The 23391-nt window shown below is 46.1% G+C and overlaps 1 protein-coding gene across 1 annotated transcript in view, besides 2 other annotated features; it reads left to right on the top strand.

Annotated features, from left to right (window-relative positions):
• PEAK1 (pseudopodium enriched atypical kinase 1) overlaps positions 1-5290 on the top strand; it is a 320261-nt gene extending 314971 nt beyond the window's left edge. The window contains exon 13 of the mRNA XM_047433077.1: positions 4527-5290. Coding sequence (XP_047289033.1) covers positions 4527-4550 — 24 coding nt within the window. The 3' untranslated portion in view covers positions 4551-5290. The remainder of the gene's footprint in view (positions 1-4526) is intronic.
• Positions 21467-21967: an enhancer, noted in NCBI's record as "H3K4me1 hESC enhancer chr15:77376319-77376819 (GRCh37/hg19 assembly coordinates)". NCBI's record gives its function as "activates a minimal SCP1, AML or CMV promoter by ChIP-STARR-seq in primed H9 embryonic stem cells {active_cell/tissue: H9 hESC(primed)}" and the evidence as "EXISTENCE:reporter gene assay evidence [ECO:0000049][PMID:30033119]".
• Positions 21766-21815: an enhancer, noted in NCBI's record as "active region_9890". NCBI's record gives its function as "activates an Ori minimal core promoter by ATAC-STARR-seq in GM12878 lymphoblastoid cells {active_cell/tissue: GM12878}" and the evidence as "EXISTENCE:reporter gene assay evidence [ECO:0000049][PMID:35858748]".

Below are 23391 nucleotides of genomic sequence, written 5' to 3'. Positions count from 1 at the left end.
CACCCAGCGTGGGATTCATTCCTGAGAATTCCATTAGTGGTCCTCAGTGATGCCATCCTGTCTGACTCTGGGTTGTCCGGAGGTGATGGGCCACTGACAGTTGGATGGGGCCTTTGGCAGCTCCATGCCTGCAGAGTGTTGTCTTTCAACCTAAGCCACAGAGAATCTTGATTTCTTTCCTGCCCGGAGTGAATTGGTGTGGGGAGCTCTCCATTGCCTGGGGTTGTAAGTGTGTACCTTCTGCTCCAGGAACTCTTTGCCTCCTCTCCAAGGCCTAGCAAATTATGCTTCCTTATAAGTGAGTTCGCACTCTCTTCTACAAGGGAAAGAACTTCATTAGTGCCATAGGAGCCAAGAACTGCAGTTGGCAGATCACAAGTTGTTGTTAAGAGCAGCTCAAGGCAATTACAGCTGAAACTTAAAAACTGGATTTCACACTGGGTGGGGGGGTAGGAGGGAATTTGTTGCCAAGATCCAGTTCTCTCAAATTTGCAAACCTCTAAAAGGAAATAGGCTTTTTGGACACAAACTGACTTCCTTGAGATCCCAGATAAACCTCTGTACAGGTATGTGCGCGCACGCGCGCACACACACACACACACACACACACACACACACACACACACCAACTAATGGCTCCCTTGCCCTCTGGGAGCTGCATGGAAGCAACCAGAAAGCTGAGTGATAATGCTGTGAGGGCTTCTGAGGAATCTGCAATTATAAGGACCAGGGTCCTCTAGAGAAGTAACTCTCATGCAGGAAGTGGGGGGTATAGGGACTTGGGTTTTCCCCACCAGGACCACCCAATGCTCACCAGCCCACACTTGAGCTGGAGTCAAAGATAGAGCAAAAAACTCCAAGCCTATGGTTCATCTTTGCCCAGGGTTGGGGGATGGGAGGCAAATTGTACCTCAGGTAAAGAGAATGTGGAGGGATAAAGTCACCAGGCCCCCCAGGGAGGGGCAAAGTTGAATGCCTTGAAGAGCTGAGATGCTCCTCTTCCAGGGTGAAGGAGTCTGTCTCTAGAAAGCCAGCCCTGGGGGTGCTTTCCCATGAACTAGCTTAACAGCTTAATTTTATCTTCACAATCTGGTGAGGTGGTTTCTAGAATTATCCCCATTTTACCCTTGTGAAAACAAGTCAGAGAGGGTTTGTTTGCCCCAGATCCTTAGTAAGGGAACTACGATTTGTCATCCAGCAACCGTACTCCACCTCCCAGCTTCCTGGAGTGAGGGACAGTCCTCCCTCACTCTCTAGCTGTCACCCCAGTATCATCAGTGGCTTCTTGGTGTCCAAAGAAGAAAAATCCAATTGCTGAGTCTGTGTCCTCCACCTCTCATGCTTATTGCTGACCAGATGTTGCAGCAGCTCCACTCTCCAGGCTGGCCTGGGAGACATGCATTGAAATTCTCTGCACCCGCATCGTTCCTGTTCTTTTTCTCTCTGTTCTTCAGGGCCCCATTCAGCCAAGAAGCTTTTGGGATGATAGCCATCTGAAATCACCAACTCACTCCCCAGCTTCAGCTCCTGGCCTGGTGTGTGTGTGTGTCTGTGTGTGTGCACCTCCCTTCTCGTGAGCTCCTCCAGGGAGGCCATGGCTTTAGCTGCTCTGCCTGCTGTCCTTGGTGTCTGACTCAACTAACAGGAAGAGAGGAGGAAGAGAACCACCCCTGGCTGCTCCACTGGGCCAGGCCCTGGTCCAGGCTTTCCCACACATTAACCTCATTTGCTCTCCACTACAGCCATTTTACAGATGAGGAAACTCAGAGTGGGTAAGAAACTTGCCTAAAGCTGCATAGCTGGTAAGTGGTAGAGCTGAGATTCAAACCTAGGCTTGAAGCCAGTTCTCCCCACCACCATACGAGTCTTTGTCTATTGGCTTGTTTTTGTGCCAGCGGATAGGCCCAGGCCTATGGGTGTTTGCTCCAATTGTGACAGACTGGGGTAGCCAAGGAGTGCTTCCTGATGTGGGCAGAGAGTGTGAGTGAGAAGAAAGCGCTGGCTAGGCTGAGCAGTCAGATCTGTAGCTTCCCTGTAGGGCCAGCACCTTTCCCTGTCAGACCTTCACTGAACTCCTATGGGATCGCCAGGCCAACACAAGGCATTAGCACTGGCCGTCTTTGAGACATTTCCTCTCAAGGCCCCTGAGCAGACTTGCCTGTTTGCTCTCCATCTTCCCTACAGAGGGGCCTCCCAGGACTGCTTCTGGAACCACAAAGGCAACTAAGTGGCCAACAGCTGCCACAGAGCAACTGACAACCTTCTTTTCCTTTTTGTCTTTTTCTTTCTTTTTGGTTAATAATCTGCTTTCCATTCACCTACCCCCTCCACTCCCACCCTGTCATGGTAAATCAGGGTTGTAAAGTCCTCAACCCCTAAGAGCTCCATGCTTGAGCAAATATATACAAGACATACGCATATAGCTGTAGGGTTCCACTCTCTTACAAAAATTAGATCTTATTGTGTACAATACTCTGCAAATTGCTTTTCTTACTTAACAATATATATCATTGGCCAGGTGTGGTGGCTCACGCATATAATCCCAGCACTTTGGGAGGATCACTTGAGCTCAAAAGTTAGACCAGCCTGGGCAACATGTTGAAACTCCATCTCTACAAAAAAATACAAAAATTAGCCAGGTGTGGTAGCATACACCTGTGGTCCCAGCTATTCAGGAAGCTGAGGAGGGAGGATCACTCGAGCCCAGGAGGTCGAGGCCACAGTGAGCCGTGAACTGCACTCCAGCCTGGGGAACAAAGTGAGATCCTGTCTCAAAACAAAAACAAAAACAAAAGCAAAAAAATCATGGACAAAGTATTTCTTAAAAGGTAGCTTCTCGCACTAAAAATAATAGCATTACATAACATACATATATACAAATTTTATTATTATTATTTCCACTTCTTCAGGCGTTCAGTCACATAGGGATGACTAAACAACAAAATATGAGAAACTACTGAGAAGTATAAAAGATGCACAGATACAGAGATGAACTATCAGGTTGTCTCAAATTTTAGTGAAATTTGAATTTTAAATCTCAATGGGTTTTTTTTCTGGAGTGAAAAACTTTACAAAATGGTTTTCAGAGTCAGTTGGAGGAACGAATACATGAAAAACCCAGAAATTTTTGAAATTGAAGGCATAATTGAGCATATGAAAAAGCTATGATCAATAAAACAGTGTGATACAGGTACAAGAAAAAACAGATCAATGTAATAGAATAGGTAACCTAAAAATAGTATCAGTATGAAACTAGTATATGTAATATAGGATAAGTAAGACATCACTATATGAGAAGGGAAGGAAGTTTATCCAATGTGCTGGTACAATTGGTTAGCTATTTGGAAAATATTAATCTTCATACTATAAGCTAATACAAATCCAAACAGATCAAACAGAGTTACATGCCACAAAGGAAAGAAAAATCTCAAGAACTAGAAGAATGCCAAGTCAATGCATGTTTTATCTCTTGTTGAGAAAGGACTTTGTAAGCTAAGAGACGGTGGAAGGTGTCTGAAAGGGAAAGATCAATAGGTTTGACTAAAGGTGATAAACCTTTGTCCATGGAAAACAGCAGAAACAAAATTGAAAAGTAAATAACCCAGAAAAAAGATTTCAACACATATAACAGACATAGGATTAAAATTCTGAGTTATAAAGAGCTGATACAAATCATTAGGAACATAAAACACTAATAGATGAGAACAGAGAAGTCACAGAAGAACCCAAATGTTTAAGCTTTCTAGAAACAAGAGAAATAACCTAAGGTGGCATATCTAAAAAAAAATTTTAACAGCTTTTTCTGATTGATTATAAAAATAATGCCTGTTTACAGTAGAAAATGTGGAAGGTAAAATTGACCCACTAGGTCACCATCTAGAAATGACCACCATTAACATTTACTGTATATCCTGCAACTGTTGTTTACTCTGCCTTTTTCTTTTTAAATTAAGATCATATTGTTGGCATCTCATTTTCCACCTATCAAATTAACAAAGCTTTTTTTTTAAAGCTTATACTCCATGCTGGTGACAGGGTATACAGTTCAGTCAATGTTGGTGCAATTGAATTGGATGGAAAGGGGCTTGATTCATCCTGTCCTGGGGTGTTGGGCAAGGGCTGACCCCAGTAGTCAGCATGGTGGTGGGTAATAGAGATTTCAGATCTCCAAGGTCAAAGTGACAGAGTCACCAGGGGAGCTTTTCAAAAGGAAAGACCACCCAAGTCCAGTGACTCCAAGACCCCCTCCTCCCCAGGGTCCTTCAGCTATTCTGAGCTTGTAAGGGGCCTCTCTGCCTGAATCTGGATTTAGCTCCAGGTTCCACCTCTGACAAACTGTGTCCTCAGCCATTCTCTGAGCCTTGGTTTTGATGGGGATTCCTACCTCACAGGGTCATTGTCAGGATGAAAGGACACAGTCTAGCAAGTGTATTTAGTCCACTGCCAGGCAATAGTAAGTGCTCAAATATTGTTGATCAAAAAGGCAAACTCTGAGTGGGTATTTACTTTCTGTTTTTATAACCAAGGACTCATCGGGGGATTTTTGCTGAACAAAGATACTGTGAATTCAAATCTCGGCCTCGTAAGAATCAGAAAACTGCTTGCAGCTTTTGAGTGGCAATTTCTCCAGCTTTCCAAATATCTCCTGGCTGAATTTCAGAAAGCCTGGTTAACAGTCGTTTCTCTGAACACCTCCTACCTGCCGATGGTGACATAGCACATCAGAGGCAGAAATGGGTCCATGCCTCTGAATCCAAGCCTGCCTTCCTCCCTACACAACCTGGACCCTTTATTGGGGGAGAGTCAGGCACAGTGGTAAACTGACAAGGGACAGGGCTGCGATGGGAAGTGGGGGGTGAGGATGAAAGCAGCTGTTGAGGGCCCCTCTAGCTCTGGGCCGGTGTGCTCTTTAGAGGGTGTCTGTGTCCCGAAGCACCCCCTCCCTCCCTCAGCAAGGGGCTGGCCCAGGCCCTCACCCTTCCTCGGAGCCTGCTGCCCACATCAGAGCCCTCATTTCAGCTCCCCTCATGACACTGCCTTGCATAATAAATGCTTCAGTTGAATGTACTTTATTTTGGGGAAAGTCATTAAACTCCTTTTGTGGAAACATTTTAATTGAATTAGATTGTTTTCTGATTGTAATAGATGTTAATTAATTGAGTGGGCCGAGTGTCCTTGGATGTAGCTGGCTTCTCTCAGTTTAATTAGGAGGTGAATGTGGACTTATTTCTTTTTGCTATGAGTCTGTGGTTTAAATTTATCTTTTCAGCTAATAAAGTGATCAGGCGAATGCAGGGAGCAGATTATTTCTTATATCTGAAATTTAGTAGTCTGCTTCGCTCACAGAGCCAAGTGGCAGCCTCTGCTTGGCATCATTGGGGCGTGACCCAGTTCTCCATCTTGGCTTGATGAAGTTTCTCCATTTCTCTTGGGAAAAGAAAGAAGTTTTAAGTTCTACAAACATGCCTTTATCTCAAGGATACTAGTCACCTTGGGGAGTGATGCTGTTGGTTCCCACAGGTGTGACTGACCTGAGAGGCAGGTGGTCTGCAAGGCAGCCAAAACTCCCGAGCTTTTCGTCCATCCCTGGAGCAGGCAGGCAGGACTTGGGTAGGTACTGAAACTCAGAACAGCCAACAGACCCTGGCAGCTTCCTCATTGTAGAGATGCTGCAGCTGCAGCCCAGAGAGGGAGAGGGCATGCCCAAGGCCGCACAGTGTGGCCCTGGGACAGTAACACCTACATCCCCCAGCATCTCTGACTAGTATCAAATTCAGTTTGGGTCAACCAGCACTGACATGAGCCAGACCCTTGGCTATGTGAGAGGGCAGAGGTAGGTCCAAGGTCCTCAAGGAGGTTGCAAAATAGTGACAGCCATGATGTGTAAACTGAAACAACCAGAGGGATCCATACAACATAGAAGACAGTGTGAGGGGCCAGGCATGTTACCTTGACTTGTGGATAGGAAGGGCAGTCTGGGAAGCCTTCTGAGAGGGGATGAGTCTGCACTGGGTTTTGAAGGATGAATAGGAGTTCCCCAGGAGGACAAAGTGTGGAGAACGTTATTCCAGACAGAGGCAACAGTATATGCAAAGCCAAGTTCATTCTGGCACATGCTGGCAAACATGTAAGAGCCACAGGAAGCCCTCAGCAGAGGCAGGACATGCTCAGATTTGCACTGTAGGAACAATGTCTCAGGCTGTAGAAGTGGAGGAGAGACCACAGTGAGAAATGAGGGGTAGAAAGAACCAGGGGAGACAGGCTGGGCGCCCCTAGCCCAGCTCACTGCCATGGAGATGGAAGAGCAGGGGCCGATTCTAGAAATATTTAGGAGGTAGAGTCAACAGTTCCCAGCTTCCCAGAGGGTCAGGCCTCCCAAGGAGGCCCCAAGAGAGAGCAGGTGAGGATAAAGGAAGGGTGATGCCCTCTCAGACAAGTTCTTTGGCAACTAAATGGCTTGTGTTCGCCTGAATGGTGCTGCAAGGTGACAAGACTTGCAGTAGCAGTGACAGCTCACACTGAGCCACTTCCTTAGGCCAGATACCATTACATGTGATGCATGATGAACTTTATCTTCAGGACAATCCTGCAAGGGGGCTTCTTTTCCTACTCCATGTCACCAGGGAGGAAACCTGAGCATGGAGATGGACAATGACCCACCCAAGGTCACCACGCCAAGGAAGTAGCAGCGCGGTCGCTCTCCCAGGCTAGCTAGGGCCTCTCTGATCTACCCCAAGTTGATGTGTGCTCCACATTCAAATAGGGCTTGCTTGACTCTTTACCCCAAATTATCCATTGTAACAGGCAACAAGAGTCTAGGTTTTCCTTTGAAAAATCAAAAGGCCTTCCAGCACCAAACATCATTCCCCAGAAGCATGGGGGCCTTGGACCTTGGCAGCTTGTCCCTTTCTCATCCATGCCCAGGGCCCCTGCTCTCCAGTGGGAGTAGGCGAGGAGTCCAGGCTGGGCTGCTTTTTTGCAGATCCCACAGTATAGCAAGAAGGGCCTGGTTCAAACCCGCTGCCTCCCTGTGTGATCCTGGGCAAGTCCTTTCCCTCTCCAGGCCTCAGGAACTGACCAGGTCTGCATCACCCCTGCCAGGGCTGCCATGGAGTATCCGGAAAGCCACATGTGTAGGACTTCGGGCACATGGTAGTTGATGGCTGCTGTGATTAAGGCTGCCTGGGCCTTGCTCCTGGTTCTCTCGAGGACACAGGACACAGAAAAGTGTCTTCACAGGGGCAGCCACTAACCCTAGAAATTGGCTCCCAGGCTCTGCCACCCAAGAAGCAAGCTCACTGCTTATAGAGCTTCTTTCTTCAATAGGAACCCTTTCTCTGCAAATCCCTAGTTTGCTAGGAACCCCAGAGGCACATTCTTTCCCGTCCACATGCCCCCACTATCTCTGGCAGGACTATATTCACCCTTCAAGGCCTCAGTCTAGCCCACCTCCTCCCCAACCCCATCAGACTTCTCCCTACCCCCTGCCCTTTGGGTGCTTCCTATGAGTATCTGGCCCCACTCTGCCCTTCTGTGCCACTGGGCACTTTTCTGATGCTGGAGAGCTCCCAGGGCAGGCTTATGCCTCTGACTCGCCCAGAGCCTGCCAGAGCCCACCAGAGCCCACCCCTGGGTAGCTCCAGCTGAAGACTGTGGATGGCTAGAGAAGGGAAGAAATTCACCCTCCCCACCGCATGTGCGTGTGTGTGCGCGCACACACACACCCCCCCCACCCCCCCCCCCGACACATATGGTCCCTCTCCCATTTTGTGGCCACAGCTGGCCTTCTCTCTAGCTCTGCCTTGTGTGGCTCTGGGACCTCTGCCCACTCTGTCCTATCCTTCATCAGGCTGTTCCAGATGCTTATCCAGCCCCTGGGACATTCTCACCCCACCCTTCCCACTGGAACATGCCCTGACTTTGGGGCAGGGGCTGGCACTAGGCAAGCTGTCACTACACACCACAGTGGCCCTGTCTCTGGGAAAATAAATGGAACATGGCTTGGGAGCTTGTCATCTACTGGCTCCAGGAGACTCCCACAAAAAAAAAACATGGAGGAAGCAAACCGAGATCCTTCTCAAGGAGGCCAGGAAAGTAGGCCCTGAAAAGCAGAATTAAGAAGCTTTTCCCTCTTCTCCCAGCCTGCTAGAGGGCAAAGCAGCAGTGGGGTTAACTGGTTCCCAATTGACAAGTTTCCTGTCACCCTTCCCCTTCCCTCTCCTGCAGGATAGACCAGCTGTTGGGGCCAGATTAATGGCCACAATTAAAAGCAAAATGCCCTTGCTGTGGCCCACTCTCCTCCCACACCTGTGAGCCTGGAGGCTGAGCTCTAAGCCCCAGGAATGGGAGATTTGTAATGAAATCAGACATGCCTCTTAACCGCTGATGGTATCAGGGCCCAGGGGAGATGCAGACTTATTTCCTAATCTCCCTTGGAGCATCTGTCAGCCCCACTACACAGCAATGTCATTCCTGCGTGCAGCAAGGACCTTTCATGGGGCAGACTGTCAACCGCCTGCCTGGCTGCCCACCCGCCCCTCCGAAGCTCCCCAAAGCCGCTTCCCCTTTCCTGGACTCAGGCTGCACAGGCATTCACAAATGCTCATACCCCGCACACTCACATCCTCTCATCCATACACAATCATTCTGATTCATTCATAAATTGCCTGCTGTGCCCCAATTGCATTGACAGACAAAAGAGAAAAATAAGAACATCTATTTAGCAGTGTTGGAAAACAGAAAAGGGTATCATTGCTAAAGCAGTCATTTTGAGGGATTCCTAGAAGCAGATGAGAACAAGCAAAACGAGAGGCCCATTGATGCTGCACAGCTAGACAAGTCGGGGGGCTGCTTTCCCTACTAGAGCCCAGGGAGCTCCCCAACTCTGGGCAGCAGAGCTGAGCAAAGGGGTTGCAGGAGGCCTCAGGAGCTGTCTCCATCCCGGCCTTTGTCCCAGGCTTTACTGGGTTAGAACTGCGTGCTGAGTCCGAAAGGGGTTTGGGCAGCCTGCGTGGAACAAAGGTATAGGACTCCACAATCCCCATAGAGGGAAGGCAGGAGAGGGTCTTGGCCCAGTAGTGGCAGCTTTTACCATAGCCTGCTGCTACGGCTGTCACAGCCTGGACCCTACGAAGACACCCTGAGGTCCCAATAGCAGTGGTGGGTGGAGGGAAGCAGATGGCATGGCCTGGACTCAGCTGAAGAAATGCATGGAGACCTGCCACTCCCTCAACCCACCCCTCAGCCCCAGCCTCAGTGCCAACCGCACTCCCTGACACCTCAGACTTGAGGCAAAAGGAATCCTAGGGCTCCTGTCCTCACCCCGGCCATTCGCCCCCAGTTCATGCACTTGGAAAACGAACACTTCCTGCCCACACCCCTTCAAGAAGGGTCCAATTACATCAGGAAAACCTGCGTGCTGCAGCCCCCTTCTTGACATTCATAATCTGTCTTAGCTTGTTAAGGGCTCTGAGAAGTCTTGCAGCATCTTTTATTGTATAATTTACATTCCATGCAGTTACAGATCTTAAGCATTCAGTAGAATGAATTTTGACAACAGATTACACCCATATAACCCACACCCACATCAATATGTAGAACATTTCATCACTCCAGAAATTCCCCAGGTCCACCCCACAGGCAACCACGTTATGACTTCTATAATGATAGATTCATGTTGCCTGTTCTGAAGCTTCGCAGAAATGGATTCTCACAAAACATGCACCCCTTCCGGTCTGGCTTCTTTCACTCACCATAATATCTGTGCAATGCATCCATGTTGCTATGTGTCAGTAATTCATCACTTTTCATTGTTGACCATATTTTCTTGTAAGAATATACTTATTGCAATTTGTGTATCTATTTTCCTGCTGGTAAATATTTAGTTTTTTTCCAGTTTTTACTGTGAGCAAAGCTGCCATGAACACTGTGTGCTAGTCTTGTTGTAAACAGATGTTTCATATTTTTCCTAGGCAGGTGTACCTAGAAATGGAATTTGCAAGTGTGTGCACACTGCCAAACTATTTTCCAAAACAATGTATGGGAGTTACTGTTGCTCCACATCCTCATCATTATTTCATATTGCTTCTTTAGGAACTTTTATAAAAAATTGGTTTAACTTAACATTTCCCACACTAATTGAGCCATTGAACTTCTAAAATTTTTTATTTAGTATTTCCTTATTTATTTAGAGACGGAGCCTCACTATGTCACCCAGGCTGGCCTCAAACTCGGGCTCATGACACTGTGCCTCCAGAGTTGCTGGGACTACAGGTGCACACCACCACGCCCAGCTGTACTTTAATAAAATAATCCCTTTTAACATATAATGGAACAAGTGTTCTGTAAAATTTATTTTGGAGAGTGAAATCTAGATCTTTATTTATAAGTAGGAGAAACAAAAATATTAGCTATAACAATAAATCACCAGATCAATGAGAAGGAGAGGCTCAAAAGAGAGGGCAAGGCTGAAAAAGCTGAATAAATGGCCTCCCATGAAAAGGAATGAGTACAATCAATCAGACTAACTGTGAGGTTCAAGAGGATGTCACATAGATAAAACTAGATGGAGCAGGCTGCAATGAAAGAGAAAGAGAATTTGGAAACGACCAACATGGCTGCCAAAATGAAAAACTTGAGAATTAATGAACTACGCAATAAGCTCTGCCCCAAACTAGTGACACTTGCAGTTAAAGACAGTGGAGTAAAGGCGTCTCCACCCCTTTCTCCTCTCTGAAACCAAGTAAAACCTTAAGAAGAATGAGAAATAGGAGAGAAATGCTCTTTTGCACAAAACTTGGACACTCATAACACCAAAACATAATGTATGAATACTATAACAATTGGTTACTATCCTGGTCTCTCCAGATAGTATAGTATCTGGAGAGGATTCTGAGAGACCATATACCCCTAGAGACCAGGAAGGATAAAACCGAAGACCCCTCTGTTGGAACAGCAAAGGTCAGAGTATTTGGATGGGCTTCTGAACTTTCCTGAATGCTGCTTGGCCGTGTGGCATGGCTGTGGAGGGAGCGCTGAAAACGGGAAGGCAGAAGTTGCCATCCTTGCAGGAAGCTGGATGACCATCTGGTGGGTGACTGGCAGCCCTGCCACTGCTGGTCTTGCTGGCTGAAGAGAAACAAAGGCCGAACCACCACACACAAACCTGGGACACTGTGGGGGCTTGACCGTGGGTTCTCTGCTAGTCTGGGGTGAAGTCACACCCTGGGGAAATTGTGGATTAGAAAGTGTATTAGTTCCTATGACTGCTGAAACAAATTACCACAAACACCAGTGATTTATTCTCTCACAGTTCTAGAGAGCAGAAGTCCCAAATCTGTGTTACTGGGTCAAAATCAAGGTGTTGGCAGTGGGGCGCCCTCCGGAGGCTTAGGGGAGAATCCGTTCCTTCCCTCTTGCAGTTTCCGGGGGCCGCCAGCACTCCTTAGCCTGTGTCTGCACCACTCCAATCTCTGCCTCAGTGGTCATATTGCCCTCCTCTCTCCTGTGTGTATGTCAAATCTGCTCCTGCCTCTTTCTCATTAAAACACTCATGATCGCATTTAGGGCTCAGCCAGATAATCCAGAATAATTTCTCCATGTCAAGATCCTCAATTTAACCACATATGCAAAAATCTTTGCCATTTAAGGTAACATTCACAGGTTCCAGGGATTAGGACTTGATATCTTTGGGGCCATTATTCAGTCTACCACAGAAACTATCACAAGACAAAGCTCAAATGTAAGCTGCACGCTAGCTCAACTCACTGCTTTGGTCTCTGGCTCCTCCTCCATACAATCTTTCATTTTCTTTTCTTTTTTTTTTTTTTTTTTGAGATGGAGCCTCACTCTGTGCCCCAGGCTGGAGTGCAGTGGCACAATCTTGGCTTACCGCAGCCTCCACCTCCAGAGTTCAAGAAATTCTTTTGCCTCAGCCTCCCAAGTAGCTGGGATTACAGGCGCATGCGCCCAGCTAATTTTTGGGTTTTTGGTAGAGATGGGGTTTCGCCATGTTGGCCAGGCTGGTCTCAAACTCTTGGGCTCCAGTGATCCTCCCACCTCGGCCTCCCAAAGTGCTGGGATTATAGGTGTGAGCCATCACACCTGGCCCTCCATACAATCTTCCTATAGAAAACTAGTCCAAAAAGACTAGAAAAAGCCAGTCAAAAATGAATGATAACAATGTATAAAATGGCAGGAAGGTCAAACATGTCCTTGTTGCAGGATAGCTGTGACTTAGCTAAGTACCTCTATTTAATGAGAAAGATCCTAATACTGGGCAGACACCCACATATTCTTGTATGCACTCATACACAGACTTACACAACTCCAACTACACACCAGTTATAAAATACTCACTCAAAACAACAAGAGTCACACGGAAGGCCTGGCTAAGATATCTCAGGCAAATGCTGACATAAAGAAAGCAAGGTAGGATATGTTTATATCAGACAAAGTAGAATTCAAGGCAAGATGCATTAAACAAGATAAAGAACTTTTTTTTTTTTCAAATAAAAGTACAGTGTGCCAAGAAGATGTGAAATGAAGAGGTCTTTTACCCAGCAATCGTCTCAGTGGGAGGATTTATCATAACTTTCTCAGACTCAAATTGAGTAAAGAAAAGAGAAGGTTTGAATATCAAATTAAATAAGCTTTGTGTGTACTCTCAAAACAGACTACCTGTTTTCTTTTCAAATTCTCATGGAACAATGACAAAAACTGACCACATACCAGTCCACAAAAAACTCAGTAACCAAAAAGTAGAAATCATATGAACCACATTTCCTGATCACAATGTAATCCATCTAGAAATTAACAACAAACAGATAATACCTTCACCCCAGGTCTAACCACTTATAAATTTTCAAACATTTCTCCACAGCTCAAGTTAAATTAAAAGATAAAAATTGAGGCCAGGCATGGTGGCTCACACTTGTAATCCCAGCACTTCAGGAGGCCAAGGCTGGAGGATCACTTGAGGCTAGGAGTTTGAGACCAGCCTGGGCAACATGGTGACGCCCCATTTCTAAAAAAAAAAAAAAAAAAAAAAAAAAAAATCACAAATTGTCAGAAATTATTATTAACAATGAGAATATCATTGTTAGTAACTGAAATATTAAAACCTAGATAATAAGACTAAAGATTTTCTCAGAGCAGTGGTCATAGTCTTAAACTCTTATGTGTAAAGTCAATAACTCATTCATTCCACAAATATTTTCTGAGTGCCTATTATAGGCCAGCACTGCTCTAGGTGTTGGGGATTGAACAGAAAGAGAGATTCTTTTTGTAGAGCTTACATTCAAATTGATAATGGTAAGAATTAGGGGGCGGGGGAGGGTGGAATGCCCTGAACATTCAATTCAAGAAGCTGGAAAGGTACAATAAAATACTCTCAGAAAAGCAAAGGAAATTACAAAAGAAAATATATAAATTAGGCCTGGCGCGGTGGCTCATGCCTGTAATCCCAGCACTTTGGGAGGCTGAGGCAGGTGGATCACGAGATCAGGAGTTCAAGACCAGCCTGGCCAAGATGGTGAAACCCCATCTCTACTAAAAATACAAAAATTAGCTGGGCGTGGCGGCGTGCACCTGTAGTCCCAGCTTCTTGGGAGGCTGAGACAAGAGAATTGCTTGAACCCGGGAGGTGGAGGTTGCAGTGAGCCCAGATCGCGCCACTGCACTCCAGCCTGGGTGACAGAGCGAGACTCTGTCTCAAAACAAAACAAAACAAAAAACGAAAATATATAAATTAATGATTTAGAAAAATAAAGTAGAACTGATAAAATTAAGCTTTGATTAGACTCTATTGCATCTAAGAAAAAAGAGAAAACACAAATATTTATCATTAGTAAAGGCAAGAGGGATTACACAACTGCAAATACAGAGGCAATTGTATAGATTATAAGCAAATAATATGTGTAACATGATGCTAAAATTTGAAAACTTAGATAAAGCAGATATTATGGATAAAAATGGATATATTTCTAGAAATATGTAAATTACCAAATAGGCTCAATAAGAGATAAAAAGCCTGAGTGGTGGAAGGGTGTGGTGTCTCACTCCTGTAATCCCAACACTTTGGGAGGCCAAGATGGGTGGATGACCTGAGGTCAGGAGTTCGCAACCAGCCTGGCCAACATGATGAAACCCCGTCTCTACTAAAAATACAAAAATTAGCCGGATGTGATGGTGTGCTCCTGTAATCCCAGCTACTTGAAAGGCTGAGGCAGGAGAATTACTTGAACACGGGAGGCAGACATTGCAGTGAACCTAGACTGTGCCACTACACTCCAGCCTGGGCGACAGAAGAAGACTCCGTCTCAAAAAACAGCAACAATAACAACAACAAAACCTGAGTGGCCCTGTTACTAGAGAAGAAATTGAAAAGATCGTTCAGGGTCTACCAACCAAAACACATAAATACCTAGATGACTGAAGGCAAAATCTGACAAACTTTCAACACACTGATAATCTTATTAAACTATATAGAACATAAAGATGGAAATACACTCTTTTGCAAGTCTGCATACCAAAATCTGATACACAAAACACACAAAGGAATTACAGTTCCAAGCAGGAAGGCTGGAGCACACACTGCCGTTGTTGCAGCTGGAAGCGCCAAGCAGTGTTCACTTGGACACATGGGTGGCCTGTCACCCAAACACAGCTGTGGGGATAATTCACCTCCTGTGGTCCTGTCCTCCTGTCACTCAAACTATGCTCCACATCTATGGCTTCAGGGGTGTTCCTTGTGGCCAGTTGACAGAGGAAGATAATAATTGAGTAGAGTTTACCCCAACTGGTTCAGTAAAAGTGCACAGCTGCAGTGTTACTCTCCCACTCAGGAGTGGCCCCAAAAGACAGTGTGGAGAACAAATCCTCTCAGGAGTGGAATTTAGAGCGTTACATCTTGAACACTTTCCCCAAAGGCCAGATGGCCTGAGATATAGATCTACACTGGCTCATGGGCAGTAGGTCATGGTTTTGCTGGACAAACAAGGACTCCAGAACAAGATGCGAGATTGGAGACAGGATGGTTTGGGGAAGAGAATGTGCATGGATCGCTCAGAACTGACCCAGAGGCAATGAGTATTTGTGTGCCATGTGGATTCTCTCCAAAATGTCCTCACTGTGGAGCAAGTTCTCAATAATCAGGTGGACAAGAAGACCCACCCAGTGGATGAGTAAATGTCTATAAGTCTCTTTCCTCGGTCACCCTTGTACCCACTCAGGAATAAAGTAGTTTTGGATGCAGCAGCCACCTATCCAAGTGAGGACCTAATGGCCTCTCCAAAGGTGAAGCAGCCACTGGCACCGATGAGGGTCTAACTTTCAGCAGTAGAAACCAGTTCTGCAAATCTGATATTATACCACAGTGAGGAGGACCAGTTAGCTACTTGATGGAAAGTTAGTTTTACTGGGGCTCCTTCCATCGTGGAGGGGCAGGAACTTGACGTCACTGGAATAACTACTTATATTGGAGTTGAATATGCATCCTGTCTTTACTGTGTTTCCATCAACACCACCATCAGTGGCCTGAATAATGTCCTCCACTCCATCATAGCAACCCATACAACACTGTTTCTGCCCTAGGATCAGGTGTACAGTCAAAGAAATGGAGCAGTGGGTTGATAGTCATGGGATTCACTGGTCTTTTCATACATGTAGGAGCAGCTGGCCCTATAGAAGAGTAGAATGGGCTGTTAAAGGATCAGTCCCAGCCAGGTGCGGTGGCTCACACCTGTAATGATAACACTTTGGGAGGCCGAGGTGGGCAGATCGCCTGAGCTCAGGAGTTTGAGACCAATCTGGGCAACGTGGCGAAACCCCATCTCTACTAAAAATACAAACAATTAGCCAGGCATGGTGGTGTATGCCTGTACACCCAGCCACTCGGGAGGCTGAGGCAGGAGAATCACTTGAACCCAGCAGGCAGAGGTTGCAGTGAGCTGAGATCGCACCACTGCACTCCAGCCTGGGCGACGGAGCGAGACTCTGTCTCAAAAAAAAAAAAAAAAAAGGATCAGTCCCAGCACCCTGGTAGACAACATTTTGTGAATTTGGGACACTGTCCACCAGCGTTTGGTATGTGAGCACAACCAGCAACCAATTTATACTGATCACAGCAATCTTGGCACCAAAGCATGGATGTGGGAATGGTGCCCTTCACTAATAACACCTTTTCAATAAATGCGCTTCTTGTTCCCACAGCTCTGCGCTTGTTGGTTTACAGGTTTTGATATCCAAAGGAGTAAAGCTTCAATGTGAGTAAAACACAATGGCTGCCTAAACAGGAAGTTAATACTGACAGCCCACCACTACGGGCTCTCCATGGTACTGGACAAACAGGCCCAAAGAGAGGTCAAGGCTTTGGCTTCAATGACTGATTTAGACCCGTGCTGCCCAATACTGTGGCCACTAGCCACACGTGGCTATTATATTTAAATTATCTTGAATTAAACAAAATCAGAAGTTCAGTTCCTTAGACACACTAGACACCTTTCAAGTGATCTGTATCCGCATGTGGCTCCTGGCTACCATATTAGCCAGAGCAGCTATGGAACATTTCCATCCCTGCAGAAAGTTCTATTGGACAGCATTGATTTAGACTATCAAAGGTAATGGGGAGGTCACTGCGATGGGGGCATGAAGAAGTGAGGTTGACCTCCAGGATCCCTCTGTCCTGTCTGCTCATCCTCCTACAATGCTCATCCTCATACAGTGGTCAACATGGAAGAAGGTACAACAAACCTATTTAGGCAAGGGCACCAGGGCTTAGCCCCCTTGGGAATAATGGTCTAGGTCACCCTACCAGTAAAGAATGCCTGCCACCCAAGGTGTGGGTGGAGGACACAGGAAACATGGAATAAATGAGGAGGGAGGTCACACATCCTAACCACAACCATACAGAGCCTGTATGTTCTTCCTTGCTGTGCCATGGGTATATTTATATATTTTAATAAATGTATTTTGTCTTTCCCTTTAATCCACTATTGTATACATTGTTGCAGAATATTGAGACAGGAGTGGGACAGAATTAGAGAAGGAATGGATCTCACCCAGAACTACTGGACTTGGAGTTGTACAGAATAACCATTATTAGGCTGTTCTTGCACTGCTACAAAGAAATACCTGAGAGTGGGAAATTTATAAAGAAAAGAGGTTTAATTGGCTCGTGGTTCTGCAAGCTGTACAAGAAGCATAACACTGACGTCTGCTTCTGGGGAGGCCTCAGGGAGCTTTTGCTCATGGTGGAAGCAAAGGGGGAACAAGCATCTCACATGGCAAGAACCAACAACCAGATCTCCCAAGAACTCACTGTCTCGAGGACAGCACCAAGCCATGGGGGATCTGCCCCCTGATCCAAACACCTCCCACCAGGCCCCACCTCCAGCACTGGGAATTACATTCGACATGAGATTTGGAGGGAACATGCAATGCAAGCTATATCAGTAACTGAGAAAAGAAGTGAAGATATTTTCAGATGTTAGGCTGCACCTTCTGAGGGAGGAGTGCTAAGTCACAGAAAGAAGGCAGAACTGTAATAAAACCTTGGTTATTTTGCCTGCCGAGAGTTTGATTCTCCCAGTAGCCTTCCCATGTTAGTTTAAGTAGAGTTGATTTCTGCTGTTTGCGAACCAAACCTCTGACTGATCCAGAAGTCTAAATGTTGGTAAAGAATAGACCACATGGCTATTTGCAGATAACATGTTTGTCTTCCCAATCAACAGGAAAAAAAAAATAGAAATCATTAAGGAATTTACTGTGGTGCAAAAAAATAATAATAAATGTTGGAGGTGATGGATATGCTAACTACCCTGATTTGGTCATCACACAATGTGTGCGTGTATGGAAACATCACACTGTACCCCACAAATATGTACAATTACTATGTGTCAATATTTTTAAAAGTCAAGAATTTACTGTGGTGGCCAGATACAAGATTGCTTTCTTGTTTATCAGATTTATTCTGAAAGAAAATCTAATTTTTAAAACCTATTTTGGGCCAGGCACGGTAGCTCACACCTGTAATCCCAGCATTCTGGGAGGCTGAGCCGGGTGGATCACCTGAGGTCAGGAGTTTGAGACCAGCCTGGCCAACATGAAGAAACCCCATCTCTACTAAAAATACAAAAATTAGCCGGGCATGGTGGCATGCACCTGTAATCCCAGCTACTCGAAAGGCTGAGGCAGGAGAATCGCTGGAACTCGGGAGGCAGAGGTTGCAGTGAGCTGAGGTCACACCATTGCACTCCAGCCTAGGCAACAAGAGCAAAACTGTGTCTCCAAAAAACAAAACCAAAAAAAACAAAAAAAACTATTTTCAATGTAAAATAAAACCAGACCCAGAAAGGCCTTAAATGCCCAACTGTTTTGTCTTGGAGGAGCTGAGCAGCCAGAGAAGGTGTGAGAGCAGCGAGGCCAGTGTTAGGAAGCCTGGTTGCAGAAGTGTGCAGGAGGGTGGGACCTCCCAAGGCCAGGCTCATTCCTCCGGGGAGGTGCCTGCTGCTGTCCCCTGTGCAGGGGCCTGGGGCTGGGCATGGCTCAGATCCATGGCAGTGCCAGCTGCAGTGCACTCTGGTAAGAGATGGGGGTGTCTCACCCACTGGAGCCAAAGGAGAGAGCAGGAGGGCCTGGGGTATTGGAAGGGTCTCTTGTGGAGTGTGAATCACTGCAGCCCCTCAGGCCACAGCAGATGCAAGTTTTGTGGTCCCTAACTTTGTACAATTTGGAGGCCTTCCTTAAGGAAAATAATAAAAATCATAAAGACAAAATTAACAGCTGGGCACGGTGGCTCAAACGCCTCTAATCCCAGCACTTTGGGAGGTCGGGCAGGTGGATCATTTGAGGCCAGGAGTTTGAGACCAACCTGGTCAACATGGTGAAACCCTGTCACTACTAAAAATACAAAAATTAGCTGGGCGTGGTGGTGCATGCCTGTAATCCCAGCTACTTGGGAGCCTGAGGCACAAGAATCGTGCTTGAACCCTGGGAGACCGAGGTTGCAGTGAGCTGAGATCACATCACTGCACTCCAGCCTGGGCGACAGAGTGAGATCCTGTCTAAAAAAATAAAAAAAATAATAAAAAAAGACACTATTAGGTACAGACATGAATAGTTACTTGAAATGAGAAAATAAAACAACCTACAAATCAGAAAAGTTGACACTACAAATATTATAAAATCCCCCCAATAGCAGTATATTTTTTATTCAGTGCTTAATAAACATTTATAATATCTTTTTTCCCTTCATTTTTGCTACATATCTTTTGGCTGCTTTTTCATATGACAGTACTTTCGTGCTGCCATTTTCTATTAAGAGAATGGAAAGATAATTCACTGCTTGCCGTGGTATGGTTGACTAATTTGTTATTTTATTAGTGATAGTTTACAAAAATCTATTTTGGCTTCATGACTTACTGGTAAAGTCGTGTACATTTTTAGGATTGTTGTCAAGTTGAGGGAAACCTTTATCAAATTTCTTTTATAAATGAGCTGTAAGATTTCAGGGTTTTCAAGTTTTCTTGTGTTGCGGACCAATCTTAAATACTCTGAATTGATGGTGCTCGTTAAGGAGAGCAATTCAGATGCATTCTTAAATTGCTACTACATTGCTTTGAGCTACATAATTGTGTAATAAAATTACTCTTATGTCACATACACTGTACTTATTGATGAGCACATGTAGGAGTTTTGTCACAGGAACACTTGTTTCTTCAGGCTGTCTTGCTGTGTTGGTGGCAATTTCATGTGCCATTTCATCCGGAACTGCCAGACCTTATCAGGACAAGATCCATCAGTTGCACCAAGATGTGATTCCATATACTGGAGTGCATAAAACATCTATCTTCACACACAAAAGTACTTGTTGCTTGTAGAACTGCTGTAACACTCAAGCACTCACTATAAGCAGTGATTTTTTTTTTCTTCTTTTCTTTTTTTTTTTTTTTTGAGACAGGCACTCTCTCTGTTGTCCAGACTGGAGTGCAGTGGTGCTATCATGGCTCACCACAGCCTTGACGGTCAGGCTCAAGCGATCCTCCTACCTCAGCTTCCCACATAGCTGGGACCACAGGCATGCACCACCACACCTGGCTAATTTTTGTATTTTTTGTAGAGAGAGGGTTTCACCATGTTGCCCAAGCTGGTCTCAAACTCCTGGGCTCAAGTGATCCTCCCACCTTGGCCTCCCAAAGTGCTGGGATTACAGGCATGAGCCACTGTGCCTGGCCTAACAATGGAATTCTGATCAATTTTATTTTGCATGAATCTCATTAAAGAGAAACTAATGTGTGGCACATGTGTCATGGTGTATGCTACATTATTGCATATATTCTTGACAAGAGAGAACTTTCATTTTGACTGGGCATGAGAAATGAGTCCCATGTTCTGATAGTGTAAGAATTTTCTACAGACTAACTTCTGGATTTGTACATTTCAAACTTTGTTTCTCTTCCACAAACTGCCAGTGGTGGGAGCTGACATTCATATTTCAATGTGGCATCTGGCCCTGCACCATCATGTCACAATGACGGGTGAGTCAGCATGGTGAGTATTGGTGGACAGGAGGAGTATTCCTGGAAACCATTCCTAAACCAGAATGGCTAGTAATAACTTTACACTGTAAGCCACGTAAATAGATCCCACTAAGCCAAACAAATATGTCTTTAACTCAACTTCCCTTTAGCCAGATCCCCAAAATGCCATGGCCATTCCAAACCATCCAACATGTGTGGAAATATGACACAGAAGTTGGAGTGGAAGAGACCGTGATCTTCAATGATTGTAGTCAAAACGTTTTACTCCTATAGGTTTTACAGAAACGTTAGGACCATGTAAATACATTGCTAGTACCCCTCCCAGGGCTTTGGAGGGGGATGTCATTGAGCTTAATTAACATCACACTTTATCCTCCTTTGGCTTGGGCTGCCAGAGTGGGAACTGGGGAACCAGGGAACAGTCGCATTCATCATTCCTGTCACCACAAACTCTCCACAGTTCACACAACAACCCTCACACTCACCTTCTTATTTTCTTGCTACAACCCTGTCAGGCAGGCCTTGTCATTCCCACTTCACGGAGAAAAAGTGCAGGCCCAGAGAGGAAGAACCCTAGGCCAGGGTCACACAGTTGGCAAATGACAGAGCCCAGCTCTCTGGTGTCCCAGTCCGGCGCTCAATCCCTCCACCAGGGTCCTACTGCCTCATCTGAGCCCATAGTCATCCTGACAGGGGGCAGGGAAGGAGTCACATCCCCATTTCATAGAGGTGATGGCCTTTGTGTTCACCCATCTGCACCCACAGGACAGTCGACAGGACGTTTGGTGCACAGGAGTTTATTTAACTCTCATGGCAGTGTGCAGGGAGTGTTATCCCCATGCTCTGGTGGAGGAAACAGAGGCTCATGGAGGTCACGTGGTCTGATTAGGAGTCGAGGAAGAGGCACCTGAAGTCAGGTCTCCGGACTCCTAATTCAATGCTTTTTTGCTGAACTTTGCTTCTCCCGCTTTAGAGATGGACGGGACCTCGGAGTATCATCCAGCCCAATCCCCTTTCCACAAATGAGAAACCGAGGCCAAGAGGAGAAGCCAGGTCATACAGCAAGTTGGGACGGATGCCTTACTCAGCCGTCTGGTTTGCCTCTCTCCTTCAGGCACCCGAGAACCTTCCATCTGCTCCCTCGTGTCTAGGGGTCCCCATTGCAGGCTGGACTTTTACCCCGACCTTTGAGTGACCCATCCAGCAACAGCCTGGACCAAGCAATCCTATGATTGTCTTCCTGAGTAGACTCCTCTACTTCCAGAGTAGACTCCTCTACTCTGAAACTGTCTCCACCCACAACCCAGGAAGAGGGAGACGGGTGCCAAGCAGCCCTGAGAGCCCAGAGTAACCACGTCCCCATGGCCACAGCTGATTGGGTCACACCTGATCCGGGAGAGCCAATCCAGTCTGAGCAAAGCCGACTGGGTAGGTGGCAAGCCTGAGTGATCGGAGAGAAGCCGGGACGGATGCAAATGCAGAGCCCGCTGGCAGAGGCGCAGAGGCACCGACCGACCGACCAACCGGAGCGAGGAGGCCCCCAGAGACAGCCGCCGCCCTGTAAGGTTCCCAATCCCATGAGCCTTAGCAGTCCCTGTGTCTGTGCGTTAACACACTCCCCCACGGAGTCCCATGAGAGGGTTTTTGTGCCCTTCAATTTAGACATTATAGAATTAATTTATTTTTATTTTAAAATGATGGCTAATATTTATATGGTTCACAAATCAAAGCCAAATGAAAAGGAATACCTTAGGAAGTCTCATTCCCACTCCAGTTCCCAGACATCCTATTCTTTAGTCCCCCATGGGTAACCACTTTTATTCACTTCTGGTCAGTCTTTTCCAGCATTTCTTGATGCAGATATAAGCAAATACCAATATATTTTCTCTCTCTCTCTCTTTTTTTTTTTTTTTTGAGACAGAGTCTTGTTCTGTCACCCAGGCTGGAGTGCAGTGGCACGATCTCAGCTCACTGCAACCTCCACCTCCCGGGTTCAAGTGATTCTCCTGCTTCAGCCTCCCGAGTAGCTGGGATTACAGGGAGATGCAACCACGCCCAGCTAAAACCACGCTTGGCTAATTTTTGTATTTTTAGTAGAGACGGGGTTTCACCATGTTGGCCAGACTGGTCTTGAATTCCTAACCTCAAGTGATCCTCCTGCCTCAGCCTCCCAAAGTGGTGGGATTATAGATGTGAGCCACCATGCCCGGCCCCAATATATTTTCTTACTCTACCCTCCTTGCCCAAAGGGAGCATTTATTTGTGTTCCTTGAAAAAGAAGCATCCATTGTGCCTTGCCTTTTTTCACTTAGCAATTCTAGAGACCTTTCCATATCATGAAATGATGTATTTTTGTTTTGTAGAGCTAGGGTACGGTCTTGAACTTCTGCCCTCAAGCAATCCTTTCACCTGGGCCTCCCAAAGTGCTGGGAATTAGAGGTGTGAGCCACCATGCCTGGCTCTGAAATGATGCATTTTAAATTCCACTGAAATTATTATGTCCTGGGCTCCTGACAATAGAGATACCATAGGCTGAAGAGAAATTTTGTTGGGAATTTCAGTATTTCCAAAATTCCAAAAGTCTTCTTTTCCTCTCCATGGCAATGCTTGGAGGTGTGCAGTCTAGTCTACTGTAAGTCACATGTGGGAGGGAGGGAGTGGATGCTCTCCAGGAGCTGGGAGATGACAGAGAGACATACAGGAGTGAGAGGAGTGTGGGCCTGTGCTCAGACAAGGGTGAAGAGCAGCTGCCAGGGGGCTTACCCCGCCTTGGGGTTGAAACTCTGGAGAAAGAGAAGATCCTACATTGTATAAACCCTACATAAGCAAAGTGGGAACCCAAAGCAGGAGACTG

Source organism: Homo sapiens, chromosome 15 (assembly GCF_000001405.40).
Source record: "Homo sapiens chromosome 15, GRCh38.p14 Primary Assembly".
Classification (NCBI taxonomy): Eukaryota; Metazoa; Chordata; class Mammalia; order Primates; family Hominidae; genus Homo; species Homo sapiens.
This window is presented reverse-complemented; position numbering and strand designations above follow the sequence as displayed.